Source organism: Homo sapiens, chromosome 8 (genome assembly GCF_000001405.40).
Source record: "Homo sapiens chromosome 8, GRCh38.p14 Primary Assembly".
Classification (NCBI taxonomy): Eukaryota; Metazoa; Chordata; class Mammalia; order Primates; family Hominidae; genus Homo; species Homo sapiens.
In genome coordinates, this window is record NC_000008.11 from 48459411 (window position 1) to 48476518 (window position 17108).

Consider the following 17108-nt stretch of genomic DNA (forward strand, 5'->3'; position numbering starts at 1 on the left):
TTTTAGCATGAAGCATTGTTGAATTTTGTCAAAGGCCTTTTCTGCATCTATTGAGATAATCATGTGGTTTTTGTCTTTGGTTCTGTTTATATGCTGGATTACGTTGATTGATTTGCGTATATTGAACCAGCCTTGCATCCCAGGGATGAAGCCCACTTGATCATGGTGGATAAGCTTTTTGATTTGCTGCTGAATTCCATTTGCCAGTATTTTATTGAGGATTTTTGCATCAATGTTCATCAAGGATATTGGTCTAAAATTCTCTTTTTTGGTTGTGTCTCTGCCTGGCTTTGGTATCAGGATGATGCTGGCCTCATAAAATGAGTTAGGGAGGATTCCCTCTTTTTCTATTGTTTGGAATAATTTCAGGAGGAATGATACCAGTTCCTCCTTGTACCTCTGGTAGAATTCGGCTGTGAATCCATCTGGTCCTGGACTCTTTTTGGTTGGTAAGCTATTGATTATTGCCACAATTTCAGAGCCTGTTATTGGTCTATTCAGAGATTCAACTCCTTCCTGGTTTAGTCTTGGCAGGGTGTATGTGTCAAGGAATTTTTCCGTTTCTTCTAGATTTTCTAGTTTATTTGCGTAGAGGTGTTTGTAGTATTCTCTGATGGTAGTTTGTATTTCTGCGGGATCGGTGGTGATATCCCCTTTATCATTTTTTATTGCATCTATTTGATTCTTCTCTCTTTTCTTCTTTATTAGTCTTGCTGGTGTTCTATCAATTTTGTTGATCCTTTCGAAAAACCAGCTCCTAGATTCATTAATTTTTTGAAGGGTTTTTTGTGTCTCTATTTCCTTCAGTTCTGCTCTGATTTTAGTTATTTCTTGCCTTCTGCTAGCTTTTGAATGTGTTTGCTCTTGCTTTTCTAGTTCTTTTAATTGCGATGTTAGGGTGTCAGTTTTGGATCTTTCCTGCTTTCTCTTGCGGGCATTTAGTGCTATAAATTTCCCTCTACACACTGCTTTGAATGTGTCCCAGAGATTCTGGTATGTTGTGTCTTTGTTCTTGTTGGTTTCAAAGAGCATCTTTATTTCTGCCTTCATTTCGTTATGTACCCAGTAGTCATTCAGGAGCAGGTTGTTCAGTTTCCATGTAGTTGAGCGGTTTTGAGTGATTTTCTTAATCCTGAGTTCTAATTTGATTGCACTGTGGTCTGAGAGACAGTTTGTTATAATTTCTGTTCTTTTACATTTGCTGAGGAGAGCTTTACTTCCAAGTATGTGGTCAATTTTGGAACAGGTGTGGTGTGGTGCTGAAAAAAATGTATATTCTGTTGATTTGGGGTGGAGAGTTCTGTAGATGTCTATTAGGTCTGCTTGGTGTGGAGCTGAGTTCAATTCCTGGATATCCTTGTTAACTTTCTGTCTCGTTGATCTGTCTAATGTTGACAGTGGGGTGTTAAAGTCTCCCATTGTTATTGTGTGGGAGTCTAAGTCTCTTTGTAGGTCACTGAGGACTTGCTTTATGAATCTGGGTGCTCCTGTATTGGGTGCATATATATTTAGGATAGTTAGCTCTTCTTGTTGAATTGATCCCTTTACCATTATGTAATGGCCTTCTTTGTCTCTTTTGATCTTTGTCGGTTTAAAGTCTGTTTTATCAGAGACTAGGATTGCAACCCCAGCCTTTTTTTGTTTTCCATTTGCTTGGTAGATCTTCCTCCATCCTTTTATTTTGAGCCTATGTGTGTCTCTGCACATGAGATGGGTTTCCTGAATATAGCACACTGATGGTTCTTGACTCTTTATCCAATTTGCCAGTCTGTGTCTTTTAATTGGAACATTTAGTCCATTTACATTAATGTTAATATTGTTATGTGTGAATTTGATCCTGTCATTATGATGTTAGCTGGTTATTTTGCTCATTAGTTGATGCAGTTTCTTCCTAGCCTCGATGGTCTTTACAATTTGGCATGATTTTGCAGCGGCTGGTACTGGTTGTTCCTTTCCATGTTTAGTGCTTCCTTCAGGAGCTCTTTTAGGGCAGGCCTGGTGGTGACAAAATCTCTCAGCATTTGCTTGTCTGTAAAGTATTTTATTTCTTCTTCACTTATGAAGCTTAGTTTGGCTGGATGTGAAATTCTGGGTTGAAAATTCTTTTCTCTAAGAATGTTGAATATTGGCCGCCCCCCCCCTCTTCTGGCTTGTAGAGTTTCTGCCAAGAGATCTGCCATTAGTCTGATGGGCTTCCCTTTGTGGGTAACCCAACCTTTCTCTCTGGCTGTCCTTAACATTTTTTCCTTCATTTAAACTTTGGTGAATCTGACAATTATGTGTCTTGCAGTTGCTCTTCTCGAGGAGTATCTTTGTGGCATTCTCTGTATTTCCTGAATCTGAATGTTCGCCTGCCTTGCTAGATTGGGGAATTTCTCCTGGATAATATCTTGCAGAATGTTTTCCAACTTGGTTCCATTCTCCCCGTCACTTTCAGGTACACCAATGAGACGTAGATTTGGTCTTTTCACATAGTCCCATATTTCTTGGAGGCTTTGTTTGTTTCTTATTCTTTTTTCTCTAAACTTCCCTTCTCGCTTCATTTCATTCATTTCATCTTCCATCACTGATACTCTTTCTTCCAGTTGATTGCATCGGCTCCTGAGGCTTCTGCATTCTTCATGTAGTTCTCGAGCCTTGGCTTTCAGCTCCATCAGCTCCTTTAAGCACTTCTCTGTATTGGTTATTCTAGTTATATATTCGTCTAAATTTTTTTCAAAGTTTTTAACTTCTTTGCGTTCGGTTTGAATTTCCTCCTGTAGCTTGGAGTAGTTTGATCCTCTGAAGCCTTCTTCTCTCAACTCGTCAAAGTCATTCTCCATCCAGCTTTGTTCCATTGCTGGTGAGGAACTGCGTTCCTTTGGAGGAGGAGAGGCACTCTGCTTTTTAGAGTTTCCAGTTTTTCTGCTCTGTTTTTTCCCCATCTTTGTGGTTTTATCTACTTTTGGTCTTTGATGATGGTGATGTACAGATGGGTTTTTGGTGTGGATGTCCTCTCTGTTTGTTAGTTTTCCTTCTAACAGACAGGACCCTCAGCTGCAGGTCTGTTGGAGTTTGCTAGAGTTCCACTTCAGACCGTGTTTGCCTGGGTATCAGCAGCGGTGGGTGCAGAACAGCGGATTTTTGTGAACCGCGAATGCTGCTGTCTGATCGTTCCTCTGGAAGTTTTGTCTCAGAGGAGTACCCGGCCATGTGAGGTGTCAGTCTGCCCCTACTGGGGGGTGCCTCCCAGTTAGGCTGCTCAGGGGTCAGGGTCAGGGACCCACTTGAGGAGGTAGTCTGCCCGTTCTCAGATCTCCAGCTGCGTGCTGGGAGAACCACTGCTCTCTTCAAAGCTGTCAGACAGGGACATTTAAGTCTGCAGAGGTTACTGCTGTCTTTTTGTTTGTCTGTGCCCTGTCCCCAGAGGTGGAGCCTACAGAGGCAGGCAGGCCTCCTTGAGCTGTGGTGGGCTCCACCCAGTTGGAGCTTCCTGGCTGCTTTGTTTACCTAAGCAAGCCTGGGCAATGGTGGGCGCCCCTCCCCCAGCCTCACTGCCGCCTTGCAGTTTGATCTCAGACTGCTGTGCTAGCAATCAGCGAGACTCCGTGGACGTATGACCCTCCGAGCCAGGTGCGGGATATAATCTCCTGGTGCGCCATTTTTTAAGCCCATCGGAAAAGCGCAGTATTAGGGTGGGAGTGACCCGATTTTCCAGGTGCCGTCTGTCACCCCTTTCTTTGACTAGGAAAGGGAATTCCCTGATCCCTTGCACTTCCTGAGTGAGGCAATGCCTCGTCCTGCTTCCGCCTGTGTACGGTGTGCTGCACCCACTGTCCTGCACCCACCGTCTGGCACTTCCTAGTGAGATGAACCCGGTACCTCAGATGGAAATGCAGAAATCACCTGTCTTCTGAGTTGCTCATGCTGGGAGCTGTAGAACGGAGCTGTTCCTATTCGGCCATCTTGGCTTGACCCCCGCAAATGTCTTTTTTTTTTTTTTATATATAAACCCTTGTGTCAAGGGCTGACTTTCAATAGATTGCAGCGAGGGAGCTGCTCTGTTATGTACGAAACCCCAACCAACCTTAGCCAGCTTTGACCACTGCAAAGAAAAATCACTTTCTGAGAACCTTCTGCAACTTCCTATATTCATTCAGGTTTTGTCCTGTACTTTCCTCTTTGTTATTATGGAAAAACAAGTCGTTTTACTTTAGGACAAAAGTACTCTCTTTTCCCTTTAGCAAAAACATATCCTACACAGATTGCTTACAAAGTTGTTTCTCTCTGCTTTTATTGCTTCCAGTAGAGTCCAGTAAAATCATATATATTGATTTTAACTTTTTTCCAAAGTAATTTCTATGTCACACAGCAAATTAGGAGGTAAATAATTGCAAACTGTCACACACCAGCATTTTGCAACAGGTTAGCAGAACTCATGAATATACATTTCACAGCTTTCTGAGACCCACATATCCCTTATACTACAACTTCTCAAAATGCCAAAAATGTGCATCTTCACTAATAGGCTCAAATATATATATAACCTCTCTGTACATATAAAAATAAGAGGCTGAGCATGGTGGCTCATGCCTGTAATCCCAACACTTTGGGAGGCTGAGGCGGGCAGATAACAAGGTCAGGAGTTCGAGACCTTCCTGGCCAACATGGTGAAACCCTGTCTCTACTAAAAATACAAAAATTAGCTGGGCGTGGTGGCGAGTGCATGTAGTCCCAGTTACTCGGGAGGCTGAGGCAGGAGAATCACTTGAACCCAGGAGGCAGAGGTTGCAGTGAGCCAGGATCGCGCCACTGCAATCCAGCCTGGGTGACAGAGTGAGACTCTGCCTCAAAACAAAACAACAACAACAAAAAGAGGCAAACATTATACAAAATTAAAATTATGCTTAGTAATTAATCCTTCAATGTTCTCTTACTTACAAATGATCTAGGTATATAATAAATATTCATTAATTAAGCATCAGTCCCAGTTTTAAATTACCTAAAGATCTTGGAAACTGTAAACTTAAGTTGACTTAAAGTTGACTCACTACAAAACATACAAAACATGATTACTTATGAATAAAAGTTTGTCAAAATGATTTAATTTTGTTAAACACAAATTAAATTTTTCGTAATATTAAATATTTAGTATGGGAGTGGTGGCTAACACCTGTAATCCCAGCACTTTGGGAGGCCAAGGGAGGTAGATCACTTGAGGTCAGGCACAGGCCTGGGTCTCCGGAGCACCAGTCAGGAATGGAGCACCAAGGGCCCCAAAAGCCTCGTTACCTGGGGATCAATGGGGGCTCCAGGTGAAGTCTGGCCCTATCCAAGTCACGGCACCAAAACTGAGAAAGAAAGAATGCACAGATCAACTGAGACTGCTTTATTTGGGCTGCCGTATTGGGGAGAAGGTTTTGCAGTGAGAGGCATCTTGAAGTGAAGCTGGCAGCCTGGGGATGTGTCAAGGCAGGTAGACAAGGAAGGCATTCAGAGTCCCTTGGGATCTCAAGAATAGGAGACAGGCCTCATGTGAGTGACTGAGCGATGCTGGAGGAGGGCCTTATCTCAGAAATGGGATGGCAGGGGGTCCTGGGGGGCTGTCCATTTCTTGGAACACTTCCCAGGAGAACTGGGCTTAGGTAAAGTTCAGCATTGCCATTATCTTCCAAATTAATGAAGGCATATTAAAACAGAAATCCTTTTCTTGCTGAATATAGTCTCTCTCTCTATGTATATATAGGAGATGGGGTCTTGCTCTGTTGCCCAGGCTGGAGTGCAGTGGCATGATCATGGCTCTCTGCAGGTGTGACTTCCCAAGCTCAAGGGATCCAGTCCTGCCTCAGCCTCTGGAGTAGCTGGGCCTACAGGCATGCAAACACCCCACTCAGCTAATTAAAACAAAATTTGTAAAGATGGTTTTCACTATGTTGGCCAGGCTGCTCTCCAACTCCTGGCCTCAAGTCATCTTCCTGCGTTGGCCTCCCAAAGTGCTGGGATTACAGATGCCAGCCACAGAGCCCAGCCAATATATTTTGTTGATCCTTCGATTACTAGTGATTCAAATCCTTGTAATTAACCATCTTATGTAAGAATAGAAATAGAATTTTTAAAATTATTCATCAATTCTGAAGCAACACTTTCTCTGTTGAAAAATATTTTGATTTATGGAGAGATTTGTTGCCTTAAACAAAAGGATTGTTATTTCAGTGGAGGCACTGGATTCCCTGTTGAGCAGATTTGGGGGCAGCTCTTCTTTCTCTGGGTAATGACGTCATCAAAAAGAGATTCTCACAATTAGCTGAACCCCTACACTCAGCACAATTTAGTGATTTTCAAAGAAAAACCACATCTCAGGATATTTAAATTTCTGGGTTACGTTTAGGTTTTTAGTAATAAAACTGACTGCATAAGTAGCAAAATCATCCTTTCACAATGTAACTTTCCTACCAAAAGCTTTTCATCTTTGTTTTTCCTTAAGGGATTTAATAATCAGGTTAAATTATAGAAATTCTTGATTTTAGGCAGCTACATAGTTTTTGAAAAAGCTGCCAACTATTTTTACATTACAGGAGCATACAAAGCAAGAAACAGAAGGATGATTTCTGGGAGCAGAACAAGATGAAGGTAAATTCAACTCTAGGTTTAGAAAGGGAAGACGGTTGTGTGCTGTCTGGCCAGTAAGCAGCCCTGAAGTGGTCTGGGAATAACTTCTCATCCACTAACCATGCAGGCTCCTAAAAGCACCACATCCATGTCCCAGCGAGGGACATTTTCCTCCCCTAGACCAACGGCCACAGCTAGGGTTACAAATGGCGATGGTGGAGAAAGTGGGATCCTGTTGCAGCAGGGGAAAGCCCTACCTCAGGCTTGCTCAAACCAGCAGCATCACCAGAGGGCAGGCATCATCCTCTCTTCGCCCTCCTCATGGTACCCTGTGGCAGGCGTTATTGTTTCCATGTTAAAAATAAGAAAATGGAGCCCCAGGGCAGTAAAGTGACCTGGCTTGAGTGAAACCTTCAGGGTGCAAGTAAGCTTGGGTTTCTGACTCTGAGGCCAGCGCTCCCCCCACTCCGGGGAGTTTGCCTCAGGGAGGAAGACCTCCGCATTTAGATGACTGTGGGGAACAATGAAAGGACACCTCTGCCTTTCTGTAAACAGCAAGCTTGACATAAGTAACTCTATCTTGGAAAACTACTCCATCTTACATCTCAAAAGGCGTCGTGCCAATAGAGAAAAGATGTTCCCCTAATCAACAGAGACTGCACCTAACTAGACAAGGGCATGAACAGGCACACGCTTACTATCAGTCCTTGCCAGATGACTCAAGGGCCATAAAATGAGCAGAACTTCACTAGCTAACAAGACCCTCTGGGCAGATGCGCACTTAACCAGATAAGACATGACCCTTTACTATCAGTCTTCACCAGAGGACTCTGTGGCCATAAAATGAGTGAGACTTCATCAGGTAGACACTGCTGTGTTGGCAGACCCTGTCCTGCTGTCACTTGTGATGAGCACCTGGCATCTGCTGATGAAGCCTCTGCCCACATCAAAGCCTCTTCCTTGCAAGACACTGGCGTCCGTTGGGATCAGCCCAGGACACTCCCCTTCTCCTCGTCACTCTCCTTGGACTGCTTCATTAGTTCCTTTTCTGACCTCCTTTTCTCTTGATGTTGAACGTTACTTTGTTTGATGTGAAATGTTTAATCTATAACATTTATATATTGATTAAATATACTACTATGTATGGTTTGCAATATTGACTGACTTGTGGAGTGGCTTGAGCCTGTGTTTCCATAGGTGATACTAAGAATTGCCTCCTTGAGAACTCCAGGTAGTTTGTAGCTTTTATGATTAAAATAGCCTCTGTAAATTCTGACCTGTGGAAAGACATGTGTGGGCCTGGTTATGTCTCATCTTACACTGCTCATGACTGTTTCCCATTGGGTGAGGCAGACAGCAACTGTCACATTAGAGCAGAGGAAGCAGCGAGATTGTTTCTTTATCTAGAAAGTAATAGGGTGGCTAACATCCAAGAGGTGACCTTCCCATGGCTCTGGCCTGGTGGCTGGGGGGCGGGGGTGAGGGAATGCCAAAGAGGGGACATGCTCTTGGTGCCAATGAATGCCCAAGGCCAGTCTGATTGCCTGGGCTGTGCCTGTTACAAGCACATTACCTTGGGTGAAGTGTGGTGAGGCCAGATGCAGGTCAGGAATGACACCAGAAAGAATTTTACAGTTTGTTATTCTCATGGCTCCTTGGGGAGGCTCGGATAGGGTCAGGAGGCCCTGAATGAGGGGAGTGAGCTCAGGGCAAGCTCCCTTGTTGCAGTTTCTGCATGAAGGAGCAGGTGAGGCCAGGCAAGCAGGCTGCGGATTGGTGGGATTGAACAATGTCAGGGCTCCGGAGCAGTGGGGCTGTGCTGGGCTGTCTGGTATCTGTCCTGGGGTGATGAGGGCAGGTGGACAGTGGCCCAGAGTGGGAGAGCCCAACAAAGGCAGCCTCTGGGGATGTGGAGTGAATCTGCTCAAGAAGGGGAACTGACTGACTTCTAGCCAGGGCCTCAAAACTGGATCAGGGCAGCATTTCAGAATTGCGGCACCCTGCCCCAGCCTGGCCCCTGCTCACAAACTCCTGGGCACACCCCAGCCATACCACCTGCCCAGCTGACTCTTGGCTCCTTCTGGCTCCTGGGAGCAGAGTCTGACTGTGCACAAGGCCAGAGAGTGGAAGGGCCCCCACTGGGTCCAGCCTCAAAGCAACTGAAGAGGCTTCAAACTACTTGAAGTTAACTTCTAGCATCTCTTAAATATGCAAGAAAGGAAATAGAGATTTGGGTATTAGTCCGTTCTAATGCTGGTAATAAAGACATACTCAAGACTGGGTAATTTATAAAGGAAAGAGGTTTAATTGACTCACAGTTCAGCATGAATGGGCAGGCCTCAGGAAACTTACAATCATGGCAGAAGGGGAAGCAAACACATCCTTCTTCACATTGGTGGCAGGAAGGAGAATGAGTGCCCAGTGAAGGCGGAAGCCCCTTATAAAACCATCAGATCTCATGAGAACTAACTCACTATCGGGAGAACAGGATGGGGGAAACTGCCCCCATGATTCAATTATCTCCACCTAGTCCCTCCCATGATACATGGGGATTATGGGAACTACAATTCAAGGTGAGATTTGGGTGGGGACACAGTCAAACCATATCAGGTGTTAAGGAAATGAAAGAAAATTGTTTTCTTGAGGTGGTGGGTCAGGACTGAGTTGAATCCCCAGTGTGCAAGGTAAAGGCACCAACCTTCCAAATGACTGTCATGAGAACAGAATCCTTACCAGCTCTCACTGCCTGCTGCTCAGTTGTAAGCCAAGCCCTAAATGGGGTTTTCCATGCAGATTTAATTTACTTACCTGAGACTTACCTTACCTAAGGTTGCATGTGTCCGTTGCAGAGCCGGAAGTTCTGTCTCTAAGGTCCATGCCCTTCTCAATACACAACATGATTTCAAATGGTAAACTTGTCTTCCCTGAATCTCCTACTCCAACGCCTCCCAACTTCCTCTACCTCTGCTCCTAGCCCCAGTCATTGAGGGCTGTGCTGATTTTGACTTGGAAAAGTAAGGAATCAAAAACCATCACTTCAAAGGCTGACCATAAGGGCTGCTGTGAGGTATTCAGGGGGGACAGCATGAGAGCTTCTCCCCCTGGAAATGTTTCCCAGACTTTCCCAGAGAAGGAGCCCAGTAGACAGACGGACTGCCCCCCTTGGGGGATGTGCAGCAAAGTGAATTGGGTAGCCAGGTGCAAAGTCAAATACGTCTTGGAGGCCTTTGTGTCAAATCTTATAAAGGCCTCTTTGCAGTGATACTATTGTTTTCTGTCATGTCGGCTAATTATTCAGTAGATCAGGTCCTCTAGGAAGTAGTACTGTATTTATCCAATGACCTTGTGTCTTTCCATGATCCCTCAAGAAAACCTTTTTGGGCATAAATAACCCAGCATCAGATGAAAGCTTTTCTAGCACTTCCTGTGGGGCCCAGACCCAAGTATGTTCTCAGGAAGAAATCAATTACCTTCATTTATTCATGCTGCAATCATTTGCTCATTTGCTTGTGACTTCCTGTTGTGTGCCGGGCACTGTGCCTCCTAGTGAATAAGAAACACTGTCTGTCCCCAGTCCCTGGGACTAGTGGGCGTGTGGCATAGCCCAGGGTCAGGTGCGTGGAGCCAACGCGCCCACCAGTGCCGGCCTGCCTAGCAAGTCACCAAGGCCTCTTCAGGGTCTGGTTTATCTCAGCTGAAATGTACGGGAAAAGTAGACGTCAATCAGGTGGAAAAGGGCAGAGAGAGCACCGTCCAGGCAGAAGGGAGAGCGTGAGCAAGGGGCCCGTGGGACTGAGTGCTGCGTGTCGCCGCAGAGGGGCATGAGGACAGTGCTGGGCACGGCGGCTGTGGGCAGTGTGGGCCGACAGAATCCCCAGGCCAGGTCAGGTGTCCCGGCCATCCATGGAGAACAAGGAGTCATTACAGAGGCTCGGTGGCACACGGTGAAAATGAGGTTCTTCTGGGAAATTTTAGGCTGCAGGATGTGAGTGGCCCACAGCAGGGAAGGTCTGGCAGGCAGCGAGAGCTTCCGGACTGGACCCCAAGAAGGAGGTCAGGCTGGGAACACAGACTCGGAGGTTCCCATCCACAGATGGTACCGAGGCTACTGTGTCGGGTCAGATCTTCCAGGAGACCGGAGGAGGGACGTGGCTGCGGGAAGCAAGCCCAGAGCCGCCAGCCCGGGACCAGCGGGAGGCCAGGGAGCAAGGCCACAGCAGAGGCAGCCAGGACCCCAAATATCAGAGGCTCAAATGAAGTTGACGTTAGCTGTTTTATCTGTTAATCAATATATTTTTCTTTATATTTCTTTCCATTTAGATTCTCCACTTCAGAAGATTTAATTTTTTTTTGGATTGACAAAAATTCTGTATATTTATGGTGTACAACATGTTGTTTGGAAATATGTGTATATTGTGGAATGGCTAAATTGAGCTAATTAACACATGCATTTCCTCACATACTTTTTTTGTGATGAGAACACTTAAAATCTACTCTTAGCAATTTTCAAAGATAGAATATATTGTTATTAACTACAGTCACCATGTCCTACAATAGATTTCTTGATCTTCTTGAGATTTTGTATCCTGTCTTCCCAATCCCTTACCCCAGCACCCCTCCCCTGGCAACCACCACATTTTTTTTCTTTTAGTTTTCTCTCATCTTTCTGTCTTTTAAAGATGCATCTGTTCTTTGATTTCGCTGAAGTTCTTTACAGAAGAGGGCCAAGAAGACAACAAACATCTATCACCAAATCTTGGATTCTGGAGAATTTTGTTTTCTTTCTTTCCTAAAAATTCCTTGAAAGAACAATAGCAAGCTGATGATTCATTTGAAAAGTCATGTGCCAATTTTGGTAAAGGCTCCTGAGTTTCCTGCTTGATGGAGCAGTATGGGGTGAAGGGCTGCACGGGAGAATGTTTTGTTAGTAACTGAGAGTCAGAATTAAAGAGTTGAGTGGATCCCAAGGAAATCCAACTTTATTTTTTCTGGTTTCCCCCACCCCCCATGAAGAGTTTATTCATTATAGGACTTCTTTGTAAAGTGATCTTTGTGTTCTTTTTGAGCTTGAAATTATACTCAAATGTTCTTCTGGAATGTTTTCATTTTTCCTTTAAAATAATACATGTATTGACTCCCTGGAACTAAATTAAATGAGGCAACAAGGCCAGGAGAGAGCAGGCAGCTGGACATCGCTCTGATTCAAGGACTGCTTCGAGGTGCATGTCCCTTGCTTTGGTCAGTCTGGCCTTGGGTAAGCTGTGGTTCACTTTTTAAACACACTTCAGGGCCATCCCTCACCAGTTGTGTGACCTTGGGCAAGTCCCTATTTCTCAAAGCATTAGTTTGTACCTCTGTGGAAGGGAGAGAATAATATCTAATCCATAGGGTGCCCCAAAGATTAAATGAGAAAGTGTATTAGAGGCATAGCATATAACGAGTGCTCAGAAAGCCCAGCAGTTATTTTCTAAATGGACAGGTGCCAGGCACCAGTGGCTTGAGCCTGTAATTCCAGCTACTTGGGAGGCTGAGGTGGGAGGGTTGCTTGAGTCCAGGAGCTCGAGATGAGCCTGGGCAACATAGCAAGACCCCATCTGTAAAAAAATCAAATAGAATTAAATTAAAAATAAAATAAGACAAAATGTACAGGCCATACACACAGTTCATATGGGAGGAAAGTCTGTCACAATGGGAAAATACTACCACTGACACATCACGTTATATAATTATGGTGTTTCCAAAAACGCCAAGATGTAGGCAAGATGTGGCCCTTTGCTTAGGTGAGGGTACAAACCGCAGGAAACAGGGGACTCTCCAGTAGGTTGGAAGCCCCATTTTGGATTCAACAGTGAGATTCCAGGGTGGTCTGAGGGCCCCCACAGGCAGCTGGCCTGCCCCAGAGGATGCATCACATCCCCTGTCCCCTGCAGGAGTCCCTGTCCTACTCACCGCTCTGCCTTGTGGCTGGGGCTTCTTGGCAGGGCCAGGTGTGTCCGTGCCTGAGTCATTGTGGCCAGGGTTGACTCAATGTTCTTTTGTCTGTGGATATAGCGTGGAGTGTCCCTGTTGATGAACCTTGGGGTGAACTGGAAACTCCAGTTTATGGGACCTCTTCTCCTGAGACATCCATAGTGAGAGGGGGATGGGGGCTAAAAGTCAGATGAACTAGGGTAAGTTCAGCCTTTAGTGCACATAAAGGTTAAATAGTGCAAGAGCACACACAATGTTCAACAAAAATTGGTTTTGGTATTCAAAATATTTCTCACAAAAATTAGCATATGGGAATATCAAGGAGGCAGATGTTAAAATTCCTTGCCATCATCTCCTGCGTCTTTACGCACGTGGTACTGGCACAGGCTGATGCACTGAAGGTGCTCTCATGCTTCCTCTCTGTGCCTCTCTGTGCCCCCAAGACAGCCTACCTGGCCCTGGGTAGCGTCTCTCACACATGTCATTTGCCTTTGAAGCAGATTTGTTTTGGATGGTCCACGTGTTCACTATCAGGCCACTGTGATGTCATTTTAGGGCCACTGCCCTCAGGAGCTTGTCAGCCTAATTGGGAAGACAGATAAGTGACAGAGGGGTTTAACAGGTACTGAGGCAGGAGAATAGGGTCTGGAGGCAGGGAACCTAAGGCTGTTTCACCCCAACTTCCTAGAACTAAATTGAAAGGAAAACCGTAACTTTCCACGCCTAAGTAACAAAAGGACCAGAGGCTACTATTCCAATCCCCCACCTTTTCTGTGTGGCAGATTGAAAATTGTCTTCGTTTGCAACTTCATCTTAGCCTCTAATTGGTTGCAAAAAGCAACCAATCAGATACTCGCATAGGAGTGTGCCCTTTGTAACTGCACTTCAGCCTCTGATTGGTTGCTTTTGCAACCAATCAGACCGATTGCAGGCCACCATTTCATTTACATGAGGGGAGCATGAAGTGGCCAATGATCCTGACAATATTCTGTCCGGGCCCTTGAGCATTGCTCAGCAGGCTCCCACACTGTGGCGTGTACTTTCGTTTTGAATAAACCTCTGCTTTCATTGTTTCGTTGCTTCATTCGTTCGTTGCTTTGCTGTGCATTTTGTCCAATTCTTTGTTCAAAATGCCAAGAACCTCAACAACTTGCAGTCAAGACCCTGTACCAGTAACAGTGCTGTAACAAAGGCAAACTTAGGTGGGGAAATTGTGAACAGAGGGAGGAGAGCACAGGTGAGACGGGGGGATGGTGTTTGCCGGGGAGAGGCCAGCAGGTGTGGGGCAGGAGGTATGAGTGTCTCACTTTCCATTTCATCTCTGACCCCTCTGTGTCTCACTGTACCACGCATTGATCAGGACATCTGAGTGACCCATCACAGTGTGGTTCCATTTGTACCCACATTGTAATTTGCCACTGTTCAGCACAGCTCTCCGCCAACCTGCTGTCCTGCACAAGACGAGGTCCCACCCCTACCCCCAACCCGCTGTGAACCATACCAACTTCTCCGCATCTGTTCTCTTCCAGGAAATGGAGGTAATGACTTCTGCCCTGGAGGACTACATGGCATCTTCTATGTTGAAACCACTTTCAAAGTTTTCAAAACTATACACCCATCATGTATCACTAATATAGCTCGATATACTACGGATCACAGTCCTGACTTCAACTGTTAGTGTAATGTCTCATCAACACTGAGAACACGTTATGTGGTGTTTTACTGTCATGAACGAAACCTATTTCCCCAGAAAAACTGGCAGATATTAGCATTAATCTGATTTTTCAAAGAAGTTAATTATTTCCCAGAATAAGTCACTGTGACTTATCAAAGGGCCTTGGTTGGTGGGAAGTAAAGCCCAGACTGCATTCTTGAAGCTGCTAGCCTTTGCCAGCTCATTGCAAATTGAGCAACACTGATGAACCCACAGTTAATCTATGGAGTCAAATGCAACTGGACACAAATGCCTGGGGATTTTCCCTGTGAGATTCTCTTGCCCTTCTGGTGATGGTGAAGGACAGCACTACCCATGGCAGGGGCGGTCACTAGTCTCTGGCATTTACTTGACCTTATGGCTGCCATGAACACCAGGCACAGCCTTTGCAGGAGGCACTGCTGCCTTCAGCCTGCCTGGCCTGGGGGCGCAGAGAGGAAAGGGATATGGGCTTTTGCAAAAGGCCCCTAGAGCAAAGTCAGACTGATGGCAAAGGCTTGAGTGCTCGATGGGCGAGGGAGATGCTTTCGCTTCAATTTTCACTGAGTAATGAGGCGTACTGAGCAAAATACACTTGTCCTTGGAATGTGAGGCACACACGTGGCAGGCATAAAGTTATAAAAAGGAGGAGCTCCTTAGTCTGCTGAACTTAAAGACTTATCTTGCCTTCCTGCTGTTAATTCTTTACAGAGACTTCCTCTTCTCCATTTCCCAGGGTTCTCCATGGGGATGTGCTTGAGGGAGAATGAGCAGTTTAAGAGAAAAGAATTCCTCCAGAGTGGGTTGTGGAGAGCACTGGAGAAGGTCTGGGCTGGAGCTAGAGATTTACCTTGGCTAAAGATAAGAGTCTGTGGTGTATATACACAATGGAATACCATTCAGCCTTGAAAAAGAAGGAAATATGTCATCAGTGGCAACATGGATGAACCTAGAAGACATGCTAAGTGAAATAAGCCAGGTACAGAAATACAAATACTGCATGACCTCACTTATATACGGAATCTTAAAAAGTCAAACTCACAGAAGCAAATGGCAGAATAGTGTTTATCAGGGACTGGGGGTAGGGGTGGGGAGATGGAGATTGAAGAGAAAAAAACCCTTTGAAAATGATCCATCAGAAACACTCATTTGTGATTTCCCCACAATTGTGGTGCTCCAGGGAACCTTAATGATCAGTTACTGAGCCCTTATTATCTTCCTGGCTTTGTGCTAAGCCTCACTCACGTTCCCAACAGTCCTATAAGATATTTTAAGTATTATAATCCCCATTTATAAGGGGCAAATGGAGCTTGAAGCCATGGAGTATGTAGGGGAAGGCGTGCTGCTGGTAAGTAATACAGCTTCAGCCTTCTCTGATCCTGGGGCCCCTCTCATCTGTGAGCTCCTGCTCCCGTGCCCCCTGCCCATCTTCCCAGGCTGGGGCTAGGGCTTGTCAAGCTGTACCCCGCCAGGCGGGGATATACAGGCACCTCAGGAGCTTGTCTCCAGCTGTCTGGACGCCAGATCCCTACTGCCCCATTCATATCCTGAGTTCAACAGGTCAGCGTAGGGTGTCATTCTCTATTGCTACATTTCCCAGGGAGCAGAGATAGCAAAATGTCTCAGCACAAAGATTATGTATTTCACTAAGCAATTATAATTTCAACTAAAATCAGCTGGGCGCAGTGGCTCACACCTGTAATCCCAGGACTTTGGGAGGCTGAGGCAGGTGGATCACAAGGTCAGGAGATCGAGACCATCCTGGCTAACACGGTGAAACCCCGTCTCTACTAAAAATACAAAAAATTAGCTGGGCGTGGTGGCGGGCGCCTGTAGTCCCAGCTACTCGGGAGGCTGAGGCAGGAGAATGGCGTGAACCCGGGAGGCGGAGCTTGCAGTGAGCTGAGATAGCGCCACTGCACTCCAGCCTGGGAGAAAGAGCGAGACTCCATCTCGAAAAAAAAAAAAAAAAAAAAAAAAATTTCAACTAAAATTTTTCCCTGCCTAAATCCGATTTAAGCAAATGTGAAATGTACTATTTTAAAAAGTCAGGCTTAATGGGCTGGAAAATTTTTCATTTTATGATATTTTTATTGGATCTTCCACAATATTGATAGAGTACTTAAAATTGCAACATTTTTTCAAGAGGGGATTCCCAAGATTAGATTTTTTACTAACTAGTTATAATTTCAACTAAGGTCTGTCCTAACCAACTCTCAGATACGTGGCTGGGGGCTCCACCTTCCTCCTGGTGGGCAGAGTCCATCTGTGGACACATCTGCCCAGATGTCCTGCTGGTGTCACAGGAAGGCTACAGGAGGGAATGACTGGTTGCCCATCAAGATGCACAATTTACAGTGAAAAATTGTAGGGGAAATATTCTTGATTGAAAAGGGGATTTCTTGTGTTTATCTACTTTGGCTAAACCTTCTCTTGGCTCAGCCTTGGATTTGTTGGATGTTGTGTGGTGTTTCTAAGGCAAACTGGCTGATGAATTCTCTCTCTGAACTGATCATGATGGGAAAGTATGTCCTTGCATTCATCCAGCACACTGAGCTTTATTTGCACTGGACAAGATCTAAAATGGGTTATTCCCCAAAGTATTCCAATAACAGATACAACTCAGAGGAAGCTCCTTACCCGAGAGGCCGGCAGCTGGGTGAGGGAAGCAGGGCTTTGGAGCCAGGTCAGACCCCAGTTTTGTCGCCTGTGAGCTGTTGCCTCAGCTGTAACCCAACATCCCCACACCACAGTTTCCCCACTGGCAAACAAGCAAAGCAACAGTGCTCATCAATTAGTGCTATTTGAGGTTTCAATTAGATAAAGTGTGCAAAGCACTTGGAAGAGCACTTGGCTT

General features: G+C 45.4%; 1 long non-coding RNA gene across 3 annotated transcripts in view; it reads left to right on the top strand.

Moving 5' to 3' along the window:
• LOC105375821 (uncharacterized) overlaps window positions 1-15184 on the top strand; it is a 127805-nt gene extending 112621 nt beyond the window's left edge. For all 3 annotated transcript variants that reach the window (XR_001745891.1, XR_001745893.1, XR_001745892.1), the window contains one exon: window positions 14088-15184. This is a non-coding gene — a long non-coding RNA (uncharacterized LOC105375821). The remainder of the gene's footprint in view (window positions 1-14087) is intronic.
• Window positions 15185-17108: the final 1924 nt, after the last annotated feature.